At 55.4% G+C, this 14,859-nt stretch overlaps 1 protein-coding gene across 6 annotated transcripts in view, besides 3 other annotated features; it reads right to left on the reverse strand.

The window, feature by feature from the left end:
- CACNA2D2 (calcium voltage-gated channel auxiliary subunit alpha2delta 2) overlaps positions 1-14,859 on the reverse strand; it is a 141,632-nt gene that overhangs the window by 33,495 nt on the left and 93,278 nt on the right. The window lies entirely within an intron of this gene.
- Positions 4,112-4,612: an enhancer, noted in NCBI's record as "H3K4me1 hESC enhancer chr3:50437650-50438150 (GRCh37/hg19 assembly coordinates)". NCBI's record gives its function as "activates a minimal SCP1, AML or CMV promoter by ChIP-STARR-seq in primed H9 embryonic stem cells {active_cell/tissue: H9 hESC(primed)}" and the evidence as "EXISTENCE:reporter gene assay evidence [ECO:0000049][PMID:30033119]".
- Positions 4,613-5,113: an enhancer, noted in NCBI's record as "H3K4me1 hESC enhancer chr3:50438151-50438651 (GRCh37/hg19 assembly coordinates)". NCBI's record gives its function as "activates a minimal SCP1, AML or CMV promoter by ChIP-STARR-seq in primed H9 embryonic stem cells {active_cell/tissue: H9 hESC(primed)}" and the evidence as "EXISTENCE:reporter gene assay evidence [ECO:0000049][PMID:30033119]".
- Positions 9,258-9,458: a silencer, noted in NCBI's record as "peak4651 fragment used in MPRA reporter construct". NCBI's record gives its function as "represses an SCP1 promoter by STARR-seq MPRAs in K562 erythroleukemia cells {active_cell/tissue: K562}" and the evidence as "EXISTENCE:reporter gene assay evidence [ECO:0000049][PMID:32103011]".

The raw sequence follows: 14,859 nt of genomic DNA on the forward strand, positions 1-14,859 counted from the left end.
CCCATGTCTTGCCTCCAATCCTGGCCCTCCTGAGCTCCTGGACACTTCCCTGGAGTGACCCTCAGACCCACCTGAGCTCAGAGTGCCCCTCTGAGGCAGGCCACCCACCCTGGCCCCTCTGCCTCCTCCATTCCACCCCAGCATCCCTCACACCACCTCCTGTGCACCCCCAGCTCAGGCTCTGTCCTGCCCGGAACCTGCATCCTCTCATCCTCATCACCTATTCTCCACACAACACCTGGAGCCTTTTCTCCAAATGTAGATCTGGTCATGACACCGTCCCCTGTCCCAAAACCCTTCAGTGGTTACCACTTCTCTGCATGTAAAAGGCACAACCTTCTCCAGGTCCTGTAGGGCCCACCTGACTCCTCTTCTTCCTTTTCCATCCTGGAGCCTCCTCTTGACCTAAACCACAAATGCCTGCCCACGCCGACCCCAAACCCAGGGATGGATGAGGCCCCCAATTCATAAGCCTGCAGTGACCTTGTGTAGAGGGCATTACTGTGTGACTTGTACGGTTCGCAATGCTTGTCACCAGTGTTAGGCGAGCACCTGCAGTACAGCAGGTGCCGAGCTCAGTAACTTGGCCCGGAGGCTGTGTAAAGCCTGACGAGGCAGTGTGTGAGTCAAGCCTTTGTCATCACTGTGCCCCTCCTTCCTTACCTGGTGACCTACTACCTTCCCAGGGATGCCAAATCTTCCTCAGAGTGGGGCTCTGTTGAGGCCCCTGTCCTTCCCCAGGGTTGAGACTGGGGCAGAGTGGAGGAAGCAGAGGCGGTCTCTTGCCGCAGAAAAGCCACAGGGTCGATGGGGCTGCAGACGCCACACTGACACTAGTGGGAGTCTCCAGGCTGGGCCATGACCCTGAGGAACTCCTGCCCCTGCCTCTACTCCTGGCTGGGGGGTTCCAGCTCCTTCACCCTCTTAGGGCTCAGCTCTGACCCTGAAACCTTCAGGCCCCAAAACATGGGGGCTACAGGCCCCTCTGGCTCCAGAGCCTAGCAGACAGGGCAAGGGAGACCCAGGGAGGGAGGCCCCAGCTCCTAGCCACCTTGAGCTCATGGAATCCCATGGGCTCAAAGGCTGGGTCAGCCCACTGACTCGTGAATAACGGAGTCGTAATAGCCACAGCAAAAGGATTACTTTTAATCCTCAGTAACGATCAAGCCATTATTATTTTTTCAGTGTTACAGATCAATCAGTCCATCCCTGGGCACTGGACGTGTGGAAACTGTTAAACAGGCAGGCCCGGTGGTGGGGGAGGAAGGGCTAAGGCAGCTGGTGGGGTGCAGTGGAGTGGGCAGGCTTCGGCCACAAGGTCCCATCAGGCCTGAGGATGAGAGGACTGGGACCACCACTGGTGTGCATGAGGGGCCCTGAGCAGAGATCAGAGCCTGGACCTTGAAGCCCCCGAGTCCTGGCCTGGGTTCAAAGCTTGACTTTCTTGGAGCAGGGTCTTCACCACTCTGGTCCTCAACATCCTGCCTATAAACTGGACATAGTAACTGCACCCACTCAGGGTGGCTAGGCTCTTGGCAGCCCCCTTCCTCCAACCCTCAGCAGCTGCACATAGGCAGCCAGTCCCGTGAGGTTTCTCTCACTGGCTCTTGCCCAGCTCTGGGCCCTGCTGCTATCTGCTCTTTCTGCCTGGTTAGCCCTATCAGACTGTGTTACCTCCCCTGGAAACTTCCTTTTGCCTTTAACCAGCCCTCTGGACAAGGTGGGCTTTACTCCCCTCCGCCAAGGAGGACATGTCCTGAGGCAGGGATCTCCAAGCTTAGCCCCACCTACCTGGCCCAGGCTGAGCACCCAGACCTTGGGCTCCTGTCCCCATAGAGCTGACAATAGTCAGGCCTGCTGAGGGCTGGCAGGGAGACCGTGCCCACCCTGCCCCACCCCTGGAGGTTCATCCCTCCTAGCACTTCCCTTCTACCTCTCCCTGGTCCTCTTGATGGTTTGGGGACAGGCTGGAAGGGGCAAGAAACTGAGGCCCAGAGGCGAGGGAAGAACCTATTGGGATACCACGCAGGGCAGGGACAGGGTGCCTGTCTCTGGAGTGCCTGCCTGTCTTGGGGAGATGCACTCCATTCCTAGCCCTGACCCCAAGTGCCTGTCCCCCTGGGAGTGGTTCCTTGCTTGGGCTCTGGGCTCTGCTCCTGGAGGTGCCTGCAGTCTCTGGTCGCCCTGCTACCAGGCCCTGCACATGCTGCTCCCTCCCAGGCCACTCCTGCCCAGACTCCTCTAGCCACATCCACTTCCTGACCCTGACACTCAGCGAACCCTCTTCCATGTCTGCTTTCCCCTTGAGCACTGGGTTTGGTGGGTAAGTGTCTTGTGGCTGTCAAGTTTATGGTAACCTGGCCCTGGGCATACAGTAGATGCACAGTGAATGTCTGCTAAATGAAAACTGGGTGTCTCTGGACCTGTGTAGAGGCCTGGGCTTGAGTCTGGCCTGGCTCTGCCCAGCCAGTTGTGTGATCCTGGGTGTGTGGTTTAACCTCTCAGAGTCTATTTTCTTCAGCACATCCTGGGGGGTAAGGGCTGCCCATGGCGATGCGGCTATGAAGTCACTGATGGTGCCTTGCCTGGCCCGTGACGTCCCCATCATGGCCAGGGTATTGGAGGGAACCTCAGTGGGACTGCTGAGTGGGGATGCTCACACCCAAGTCCATCATGATAACAGCAGGCATTTCAGAGGCAATTATCAGAGAGTTTCACTTAACAATCAATTTCCCTCAGCTCTGGGAACCATTCTTACAGGAAAATGCAAGAAAGAGGAGGACTCGTCGTGCACTGGGCTGGGGACAATACTCCCCTGGGAGCAGCCCTGCACAGATACCTGCAAATCTCACTATGTTAAACAGCTTTCAATTGCAGTGGGAGCTGAGGCAGGCAAGAACCTGAGATCAGGGACCTGGGGCCAGGATGGGCACCCCTCAGAGGCCAACACCTGGGATAGGAAGGCCCCCTGCATGCCAGGAGGGGAGGGCCTTGGGTGATGGGGGGCTGGGGCTCTTGGGTGCCCCCACCTTCTTAGATGGCCTGCTCCTCCCCACCCCCAGGCTAGGTGCTCCACACTTCTCCTTGGCCTCCTCTCCTCACCAGCCCTCACCTGGGAGTCCCTCCCTGCCCAGTGCTGGTGGCCCAGAAGGGTCTGAGGAGCAACTGCCCATCAAACAGGACTTTTTCTGCACAGCCCAGAGGGAAAGGCTGGAAGAGTTCTTTGGTCTTAATTAGTTATGTTTACTCCCACTTCCCAGAGGACATGAGAGGCTTAGAAGAAAAGGCTCTGAACCCATGGGGTGCAGGATGTTGAGATCTAGGGCACTGAGGGCTGAGCCAGGCAGAAGCTGTGATGGAGCGTGGGCTCTGGGGTGGAGGCTGGGGGTAGTATGCCCTGAGAATGTTGCCGAGGGCTGCAAGGAAGGTAGCAATGACAGGATATCACCAGGTGTGGTCCAGTGCCTACCCTGGGTGAGGGCTTCACTGCTGCCTCCCCAGCAAGACTCACGAGAAGTAGATTCTCCTGCTCCCCTCCTTTCACAGCCGAGGGGATTGAGGCTCAAAGCATTAGTGTAGCTGCCCCAGACCCCTAGGTAGGAAGAGGGGGCATCAAACCCAGGTTCGCCTGGTGGTAAAGCCCAGCAGTATTGGACAGTGACTGTTCCAGGAAAGGACCATCCCTGGCCAGGTGGGGCCTGGCTGGTTGGACTCAGGTCCCTCCTGCCACCCCTTAGAGTGGTCCCTTTGCCCTTCTCCTAGGAGAGAGGATCAGTAACTGGCCTCCCAGCTGTCCCTCCGAGTTGCCCCCACAAGCCTTGGTATCACTGGATCCAGGCCACGGGAGGGGACAAGTACCAGGATGCCCAGCAGCCCCTGCCTAGCCCAGCACTGGCCCCATTGCCACCCGTCTTCCCTCCCAACTTGTGGGTCCTGCATTAGCTGTGTATTGTGCACAGATAGATACTAAATACAGATTTCCAATTTCCAGAGCTGTTATGGTCTAATGAGTAAATAATATACATATTTAAAACTGTCTAAAAACATATCTGCATAATTAAAATATCTGCATAATAATGAAGCAAGATGCAGCTCTGCCAGGGGGGAGCTGGAGCCCCAGGGCTGACAGTAGGGGCAGAAGTGCAGGTGGGGTTAGGGGGCCCTGGCCCTGTGGGCCTCTGCTGCTGCTGCTTCGGCCTTGAGCAGACATTTGTCTGTCCATCCACCTCCTGCTCCAAGCAGGTGCGTCCACAGTCAGGGACCAAAAGAATCCCCTCAGCCCTGTCCTGGCACCACTCGTGGTCTGAGGGAGGCTTTGTGTGGACAGACAGTGCCTGCTACATGCATGACGGCCACCTCAGCGACTTTGTGGCCCTCACATGATGTGCTCAGAGCTTTATGGACACAGTCTCACTCACTACAACCTTCTGAGGGCATGTCTTGCCCCGACCCCACATTTTGCTGGGTTCTGAGGGATGAAGAGAAATGCAGCAGGATGGGCAGTGAGGGCCGAGCAGGGTCCGTGACTTACGTGCTGAGGGTGATGGAGACACGCCAGTGGCTGTGCTTTCCTGTCGGGTGCACTGTTGACATGCATGCCTCCTGGGACAGGACGGGCACCCAGCCTTACCCGTCCCTCAAGGCCCCTTCCTTCGCCCCTTGGCGCATCTACGCTGGACACACTTGGCTCCTGTCTCATCTTTATTTTTTCCTTAACAAATTTGTTATAGTTTTTATTAACTAATTATTATAAGACAAGGTCTCTCTATGTTGCCCAGGCTGGTCTTGAACTCTTGACCTCAAGTGATCCTCCTGCCTCGGCCTCCCAAAGTGCTGGGATTACAGGCGTGAGCCACCGCGCCTGGCCCATGGCACATCGTAAGGTTCAAACCTACTCTTTTTGTATTAACCATGTTTACACCTTAAAGATAAAATGACCACCAGAGTAACAAAAAACACTGAAACCCCAGACCACAATTCCAGCAAACAGAAGCCTGCAAGGAAAATAAACATTTCTGGCACAGAGGGTGCCTCAGGGGAAGGCTGGCATGGGAGGCCATCACCGCTGTTGGCAGCAACAGGCTCCCTGACCTTTTCCCTCACAGGACTCATGCGTCTTCTGCAAATTGATAAAAAAAATTAGTAAAATGGATTTTTTTTTTAATTTAAAAAAGGTCAGAATCCATGTAACAGGGAAAAACTCATTCGAGTTGTGGTCTCCCTCTGCAGCAGGGCAGCCGCCACTCCACCCAAGTCCAGGCTTGACACCTCCCTGTGGGTGTCACAGGCTTGGTAATCAGTGCCTGCACCCCCTCAGTCCAGCCTGGAAGGGGCAGGCTGTGCTTCAATTTCCTAGGAAAAATATGAAGAAATGAGGGGTGGCCTGTGATGGAGAAGCAGAGGGAATGACTGTGACCAGCCAGGGTGGGGAGCCTGGTATCCCAGATGCTGGAATTTCAGGTCAGACAGAATTTCCCAGAACATCCTGGGCTCCCAAGGATCCTTGCTATGTTGTATTTTGCCAAGAGAGGACACTTAAAAAAACTCCCACTCTCTCTTATTACTGTTATGTTACCAAAAAGTGAACGTTTTATTTTTATTTTCAGTTTTGTTTTTTTTGAGATGGAGTCTTGCTCTGTTGCCCAGGCTGGAGTGCAGTGGTGCGATCTGAGCTCAATGCAACCTCTGCCTCCTGGGTTCAGGCGATTCTCCTGCCTCAGCCTCCCGAGTAGCTACAGGCGCCCACCACCACGCTTGGATAATTTTTGTATTTTTAGTTTCACCATGTGGCAACAGGGTTTCACCATGTTGCCCAGGCTGGTCTTGAACTCCTGACCTCAAGTCATCCGCCTGCCTTGGCCTCCCAAAGTGCTGGGATTACAGTTGTGAGCCACTGCATCCGGCCAAAGTGGACGTTTTAACATCAAGAGGAGGAAGGCCATGAGCTCTGGGATCCCTTCCCAAGGAAGTAAAGGAAGTGGCACTCACAGGTGGTAACAAGTATTCCACTGGCTTTCATTGCTTTTTTGCTTTAAACTGGAACCACAATCAATACAGAAAGAGGTCGGGTGTGTCCTGGGACAGGAGCCAAATGTGTCCAGTGTGAACAGGGAGAGGGTGAGGCAAGGGGCCTCTGTGGCTGGGCTGAGCATTTGCAGAAACCAGCTTGAATTTACAGACCAGTTTTCTGGAAATGGGAGTGAAACCCACCCTCTAGAGATTTTTACTCTGCAGCAGCAGGCTGACTCAGGAGGACGTGTGGGTGGACCTGGACAACCACGTGCTGCAGGAAAGGTCTGGTCTCAGGGCTGCAGGTCTCTGCCTTACCCAGTCCCCTGCTGAGCTCCCAGGTCTCCTGTTGAGCACTTGCAAGAGATGCCCCAATGAGAAATAAACCAATACATGCAACAAACTGCTTCAGGTCCACATTTGAACTGTGGCTTCAGAGCCCAGCCATATGAAGGCACCTCACCCTCAAGGAACCCAGAGCTGAAGGCTACTCCAGGCTGCTGGGGCTCTTTCCAAGATATTGCCCTGCTCAGCCCCATCCCACAGGGGCTCAAACGGGTGGGAATCCACCAACCTAGCTGGCACCCCAGCATGAAACTTACCCATTTCTGCAGGTCAGTCAGTCCCTGGCAACCCAGGTGGAATTTATCAGAATTCTGCCAGTTTTGTGTCAGTTTCCCTCCCCCTAAATTATGATCCATAATTCATCAACATTTCTCTCATCCTTAGAAAAAACCATGCAGATAGCATTGGGTGAGGGTACCCATCCAGGGGCCGTCGGCCACTCTGGCTAGGGGAGCAGGGACACATCCTTATCTGAGTGCTCTGTGGGGCATGGTGCTGCCTCCTGTCCCCTCATCAGTCCCCATTCTAGAGATATGTGTGGGCACGGGGGTGGTCGTTGAGTGTGACAGTGCCCTCCTCCCTTGTCCAGCCACAGAGGCCAAGGTACCCAAGTTCCTAGGGCTTGGCAATTGACCCAGCACATAATTTGGGGAGCACTGCCCTCACCTCTCTGTACCTTGATCTCTCATCTATAACAGGGAGGGACCAAAACACTGCCAGGGCCCCTCCCAGGGCTGTGAGGATGTGGATGGAGAGCAGGGCATAGACAGCGAACGGGATGGGGACTCACTTTGGAAACTGGAGACACAACTCCAGGTTCTGGGTTGCTCCTTCCCTTACCTCACTCCAGGGGCCTCCTGACTGGTTCCCCCTCCCCCAAACTCAGCTTCTCTCTAGGGCCTTCTAAACTTGGCCTGACCTGTTTTCTTCTTCAGTTTATGCCAACGGGCTGCCCTTCTCCTCAGCACCAACTTCGCTGGAGATCTTGTTCATTACCCCCCTGCAGCCCTGCTTGGCTTCCAGCCCTACTCCCATGACCCCTTCCTTGCCTTCCTGACCAGACCTCTCCCAAGCCCTGCAACCCACCTTCAGACTCCCAACCAAAGCTGGTTATCATGAACTCATCTGCCCCAGCCCCCACACCTTCAGGTTTCCCCATCAAGTTCTGTGACCTGTCTGTGTTTCCCGGATGCCTGGACCACTCCTCCCTTCCTAACATTATCCTTTACCAGGCTCTGCCAACCTCATCTCTCTTCTACCACACTGACATTGAAGTTTGCCTTCCTGCCATGCTGCGGTTCCAAAGCCTTGTTTGTGCTGTATCCCAAGCCTGGAGTGTCCTTTCTCATCCCCTCCCCTGGCTAGCTCCTCCTCATCCTGTAGGAGCCACTGCTCTTCTGCCTCCTCCAGGAATCCTGGTGCCCTGTAGGGCTGGGTTCCCACAATTGCCCTGGGGTTTCCATCACTGCATGTGCCTGATTCCCTCCCAGATGTGGTCCCTTGAAGGCAGGGACTTGATTCATGGATCTGTGTGGCCCCAGTGCTGGGCAAGCCAGCTCAGTGAGGAAATGCTAAGTGACCTCAGGCTCCCATCACAGTCAAGGGGTCAGGGGGTGGATCAGGAGTTGCCCTTGGGGATCTGCTGGTTTGGAGGCCCTGGGTTTCATTGGGATAGAGATGGCAGAAACCCGGTCAGAAATGGTACTGATGACAGAGAATAGGGATCCAAGATGGTGTGGGGGGTGAAGGTGTGAGTGGGGTGAGGCTGAATCTAAGTACAGGCCTCACTGTGTTCTCCACGAAGAGGCATGCGAGGGGCAGCCTCTGGGGTCTGAACTGCTGAAGTCTGCTCTCCAGGACCACAACTCCACTCTGGACCTTGTGAAAATGTTACCCATTAGCCCCACCCAGCTGCTGCCAGGTCAGTAATAACATGGTTATTAGCAGAAGTCCCCGGGGCTCTGCTGGAATGAGAGGCAGAGGGTGGTGGACAGGAGTGCCTCATCTGGCCAGGTCAGCCAGGAGCTGAGTCCCCAGGGAGCTCAGCACCCCTGCCCTGGTGCCAGATCAGTGCATTCTCCTGACATGCCCCAACATCCTCCTCCAAGAAGCCTTCTCAGATGCCTCTATGCCCACCATGGCTCAGGGGCAGGACATGGGAGGGTGACAGTTCCCATGGGAAGAGGTTGATATGACTCTCCTTCCTTCCTGTCAACACATGTTTACTGAGCACCTACTGTGTGCAGTAAACTGGCCTGAGGAGGTCAGTGAGCATTACAGACATAGCCCTGCTCTTACGTGGGGTGCCAGCAGTAAGTTCTTCTTTATAGTCCACCTAACTTCTTCCCACTGCAATTCAGTCCCACTGCCCTGAGCAGAGAACTTGCTAGAGGCCTCTACAGGAAGAGCTGCCTGGAATGGCACCGTCACTGGAAGAATTTAGGGTGCTAGGAAGCTCCCCTGCATGGGAATGTATTCCCACCTGAAAGCTGAGAGTGAGACCCCACCCCAGCTAGAACAAGAGAGCCTGAGTCCCAGCCCAACCTCCAGGCTCCCTTCCCATGATGTTATTTTTATACTTTTTCCTAAAACACAGCCTAAGCGGGCCCTTCTCAGCTCTATTAACATTAGGAATCTAATCAGTAATCAGACAGCTCATAATTTTCTGATTAGCTTTGATTAGGCCCAACCTCAGGAGAAGGAGTGGGACAGTGAAGAGGGAGGTGGGGACAAAAGGGCCCTGAAATGTGCCCGATGGGGCACTGGTTGGGCTGGGGGTGGAGGGTAGTGGAGAAGAACCTCTAGCCCCATTGTTGCCTGTTTTGGGGAAGGGACGTGGAATGGAGTCGTGGGTTGCACTGGGTCAAACAGGTTGCAGGGTCAGAGAGCAAGGGCCGTGGTGGGGAGGGGGGTGGGGGCGAGCCCAGCCCACCTAGGCAGCAGGAACACCAGAGCAAGCAGCTTGGGCGAAGACTTTCAGCACCATGGACAGAGGTAGGGAGGAGCGTCAGGGCTGGGTTTGGGCAACCACCTGGGTGTTATCTTGCCCAGGCCCCCTCATTCCTCGGTGGCACTCAAGGAATGATCCCAGGCATAACCTTGAGTAATGGTGACAGTGACAGAAACGGTAGGTCTGCTCAGTGGGCTGAAATATGTGACCTTGGACCTGGAGAACTGGCCCTGGGCACTCTTACTAAACACACCACAGGCAGGGCCTGCCTTGACAATCATCCCTTCAAGGTGAAGACAACAAGGTCAGGGGCCCACTGGCCCCCCCATACAAAGGGGGAACTGAGGCCTGGAGGGACTGTCAGGCCACTGTACCATTAGGGACAGAGCTTGGACCTGTACTGAGGCATCCCAGGCCAGGGCCAGATCTCTCTCCTGTTTAAGGCCTGTTTGTAGCTTTTGCATCACATGCTCAGATGGAACCATGGTGCTAGCCAAACCAGACTTCCTAGGCCTGCCACTCATGCACTCTGACCCCTGCTCTGACCCTGTTCCTGGCGATCATGAGAACTCTCCAATCTCTACCCCCTATCCATTGCCCTTCCCCACAGATTCAGACTTCTTGTAGCCACATCCTGGAGCCCTATTCAGGTCAGAGTCAGAGTGGCTCTGCCCCTGCCCCCTGGTCTGGGATCACAGGTCATTGCCCTTTGTCAGATGCAGCCATCCAGGTGACCGCTAATGAAATACACGAACCCATTGGAGAAGACATGCACAGCTAATGCCATGCAAATTGGCACAGAGGCAATCAGCCTGACTCTAAAAGCTGCCCCACTGGCCGCAGGCTGGCTCATTGTCTTTTCTGTCAATTTGCATCTCATTACCCAGAAGGCTGTGCTCACTGGAGGTTAAAAGAAAAAAAGCACCAAGCAAGCCCCACTGTGTCCTGCCTCCAGCAAGGGCAAAGCCCACGAGTGGGACAGGGCTGCCTGGAGGACTGCCCCTCAGAGGTACACTCCACAGGGAGCCCCCCATCAGCCCTATCACCCCCATCACCCACCATCAATATTATCCCTGCACCACCAGAATGCTACTCCATTCACCATCATCCCCATCATCACTGTTGTTCCCCCCACTTAACCAGCACCAATGTCCCCATGTTCACTGCCAACATCCTCCCCATCACCATTGCCAATATTACTCCATCATCATCAGTGTTACTCCCATCACCATCAGCTCCACCATCACTACCTTCATCCCCATCACCATAGTCATCACTTCCATCATCACCATCTTCATCTACCACCATCAACTCTACTGCCAACATCACTTCCATCACCACCTTTACCATCACTGTCACCACTACGACCATCACCCCACTGTGGTCACCTCTGCTAGTGCTCATGTCTCCTGGTAATCACCACTACCACTGTGCTCACTGCTACCTGCACCATCACCTCTGTATCCCTGAGAAGAGTCTGATGAAGAGACAGAGACAACTCATTCTTCACCTTTCTCTGTCCATCACCCTCCAGCATCATCAGAGGGTTGGGGAACCTGTAAACAAATGACTCAGTGACCAGAGAGCTCATAATCAACCTGGATATTGGTGCTTGTATCTAGGTACCTTGACCTAGGTGCTTGATCTAGGTATCTGTGACCTTGGACATGGAGAACTGGCCCTGGGCACTCTTACTAAACACACCACAGGCAGGGTCTGCCTTGATGATCATCCCTTCAAGGTGAAGACAACGAGGTCAGGGGCCCACTGGCCCCCCTATACAAAGGGGGAGCTGAGGCCTGGAAGGACTGTCAGGCCACTGTACCATTAGGGACAGAGCCTGGACCTGTACTGAGGCATCACAGGTCAGGGCCAGATCTCTCTCCTGTTTAAGGCCTGTTTGTGGCTTTTGCATCACATGCTCAGATGGAACCATGGTGCTGGCCAAATTAGACTTCCTAGGCCTGCCACTCGTGGGCTCTGACCCCTGCTCTGACCCTGTTCCTGGCGATCATGAGGGCTTCAGGAGGAAAGCCCTCAAGGCCAGGGGGTGGAATGGGTGCTTGTCCACTCTACCAGGGCCCCTGAAGAGACTGGGGCTTAGCTTACTCTCCTGGTTCTAGTAGGACCTGGGACTGGGCAGACAGTGACCAGCAGCCACAGTACCCCATGGGGCAGAGCCAGGAGCTGCATGTGTAATGCACAGAACTGATACCATTCTCTGAATCCTGATAACCTCCTCCCTAACACGGGGCTTCTACTAGTCCCAGCCTCATAAGACTGTGAGGATGAAGGCAGACATGAGAGGAGAACAGTGAGCATCCAAGGCTGTCTCAAAGGGCACATAAACCCTATGGGAGAGGAGTATGGTTAGGCTAAGCCAGGTGGGCTTTGGGAAAGGGAGCACCAGGCAAAACTTGAAGGGCAAGGTCAGATGAAGGGGATAAGGGAAGTAATGCCCAGAGGGCAAAGATGTGGGGGTAGGAAGGAGGGCAGTGGAGGCCAGGGGAGCTGATTTAGGCCTTCGATTCTCCTGGGCCTCCCTGGACTCAGGGATTGGTGCGGTAGGTGTTTGTGCTTATGAACATGGCCCAGCCTCTTCCACAGGACCTCATTTCATTATCTGCACCTTGCTTCACACACATGCTTCCAAAAAGCCCCAAGAAGCCCAATCATTATTCCCATTCCCCCGACGAGGTCACCAAGGCTCAGAGAGGGTGACTCACCCACCCAAGACCACACAATGATCAAATGGCAGAGCTCAAACTGAATCCAGCTTTGTCCATGCCAGGGATGGGCTCTGACAACTCCCTGTGTCCCTGGGCAGCAAGGCGGGATATGAACCTAGGCCAAGACAAAGCCAGGGCTCCCTGCACAGGTCATCCAGAAGAGTGGGAGCAGGAGCCAGACTCTTCCAGCTAGGCTGTCACTCTGCTGGATGTGGACGCCTGAGGCTCCACCTTGTCGCTGCCCACCAGCTTTGGGACACAAAGCCAAGCACTGGTTGGCCCGGGGATGATGCTGAGGGCCCAGGCAGAGGTGACAGGCAGACAAAGGGCTGGAGGTGGTGGGCAGGGAGGGCACAGCCTGGCTGCCAGGTGGAAATGCCCAGGGTAAGAGCTGCTCTGAATACTGGCTGCATCCTGCTGCTGCAATCAGCCTCGACACTTGGTTATTACGAGGAGTAAAGGCGGCCAGTGGGACAGCTGGAGCCGTGGTGACAACATTTAAGGCGTTTGTCAGAGCCGTGGGACACGGACTGCCAGGCGCTAATGGCTTCTGCTTGCTGCTGCCAAGTGAGAGGAGGGTGGGCAGGCGGAGGCGGCCTTGCTCCTGCCTGGGCCCAGGCCTACCCCACACTGCACAGCCACTCCACGACAGGTAGGGCCCACCTGGGCCTCACAGATGCCTAGCAACGGCCACAGAGCCATGGCACCAACTGGAGAGGGCAGGACAGCAGTCGTGTACATGTGCCTGCAATATTTGGGGCATCGTTGCCGCCTCTCCCTTCATTCAGGCTGCAGTCTCTCTCCCCTGGGACAAGGGTCTGTTATCCACTACACCATCTCCCAGGAAAGGGACCCCTGAATCCCAGCTGGCTTAGCCCCCGACCTCCTCAGCCCATTGGGCTGGACTTTCTGAGGGAGAGACCCTTCTAGTGATGGATCCACACTGGATTCAGATCTACCCTGAGTGATTTTGGTTTTCCTGGCCTCAGTTTTTCTCCCCGCAAAATGGGAAAATGACACCATCCACCCAGGCAGACTGGCCACATTAATGATAAAACAGAGGAACGCTGAAGTGCTGGCCACATGGAGGCCGACAGCACTTGGGCTCATGAGGAAGGGCTGGAGGTAGAGTCAGACAACACCCTGGAAGTGGAGTGTGGACCCTGGGGGCTGCCTGAAGGTGGGGGCAGCCTGGAGGAGGCAGCAGAGCAAGCTGCAGGGAAGGTTCAGGGGTTTTCCAGGGAGAAAAGCCCCATGGCTGGTTGACCAAGTAGGGCTTTGAACAAAAAGTGCTCCTGAAATATATGGGTTGGCAAGGAATTCCTGCACCTGCAGAGCCCCTGTAGGACCCAGCACCAGCACCGCCTGTGCTGCACACGGAGCTGTCATCGTGGGCGATGCCACTGAGCACTTGCTGTGGCCAGCATCGCTCATTAATCCCTACAGCAGCCCCTGCAAAGCAGGTCTCATTTCTACACCATTTTGCAGATGAGGAAACTGAGTTCAGAGGTGGTTCCTCAGCTTATCTGTGGCCACGGCTCTCTGAGGGCAGGGTGGAAGGTTGAACCTGGGCTGTGTCATCAAGTCCCCCTCCCCTACTTGCCGATTAGCCCAGGAGACACCCTGAGCCCTCTCTGAGGAGGAAGTGGGCCTCTGGCTGGCTGTGGATCAGACAGCGTGGAGTGGGAGACACTGTGTGGCTGGGGATGGACCCAGCGGGCACGAGGAGACCTGAGAGGGTCCAAGCTCTGCCTCAGATTCCCTCCACGATCTCAGGGCACTTGTCTTCCCATGTGGCCTTGGAGTTCTTGCTACTTTCCCAGAGCATAGACTGAGGCCAGAGGAGGCAGGAGGGGTCCTTGAAGAAGGCAGGGAGTTGTATACACTCCCCAAGGCCACCCAGCGAGCTCTGGCCCCCAAGAACCCTCTTCTACCTGTGGTTAGCCTGCTGCCAGGCTCAGGTCAAGCCCACATGGCATCAGTGCTGGGGACACTGCTGGGGGTCAGTGTTGAGCCCAGTGACCCTTTGGGGGCGGCTGTGCTTGGCCCTGCCTAGATCAAAGACTGTTGTCTGGAAAAAGGGCAGGGCAGAAACTCTGGGACAGGACCATCCCCTCAGAAGGCTGGGCAGACCCCAGGGCCACTCTTGCATAGAAAGGCTGACAGAAGTTCTGTTGTGAGCCATCCTCACTCATTCTCACAGGTGAAGAAACCGAGGCTCTGCAGAAGGGGGATCCCCTAGTGTGAGCAGGAGGCAGTGAGGCTAAGCACAGAGCATGCTCACTACCTTGGGGTTGGTGTCCCTTCCCCGAACCCACAGAGCTGGGTGCTCCCTGGGATGGGGGGGGGGGTGTTGTCTTTGTGCCCCAGAGTCAGCCCAGCCTCAACCCACACAAGGTATGCAAGGCCTCTGGGCCACCTGATTCCCAGCCCACTGCTCTGCCTGGCCCAGGCCTGCCAGCCCACTCCTGGGTTGAGCTCTTTTCAGCACTCCAGAGTCCTATGTTGCTCTCCTGCCCACAAGGCCACTCCGCTGCAGGACTCCTCCAAGGGAAAGGGGGTAAGTGGGACCCCTGTGACCAGGCCTCTTGGGTGTCCACGGAGGGAGCTGTTCCAAACAAGGTGATGTCAGAGGTCTGTGGCTTTAGTGGGAGTGGGTGAGGAGGTTTCTTCCATCTGACTTTGAGGTCAACAGCTTTGAAATCCTGGGGGTGGAGGGCCTGGAGTTAGAGAAGGAGGATGTGTGTGTGTGTACATAAACACATGTGCACATGTGCAGACATGGGAAAGCACATCCATGCTGCCAACATGTGCTCAGGCACACGT

The sequence above is a fragment of the Homo sapiens genome, chromosome 3 (assembly GCF_000001405.40).
Source record: "Homo sapiens chromosome 3, GRCh38.p14 Primary Assembly".
Classification (NCBI taxonomy): Eukaryota; Metazoa; Chordata; class Mammalia; order Primates; family Hominidae; genus Homo; species Homo sapiens.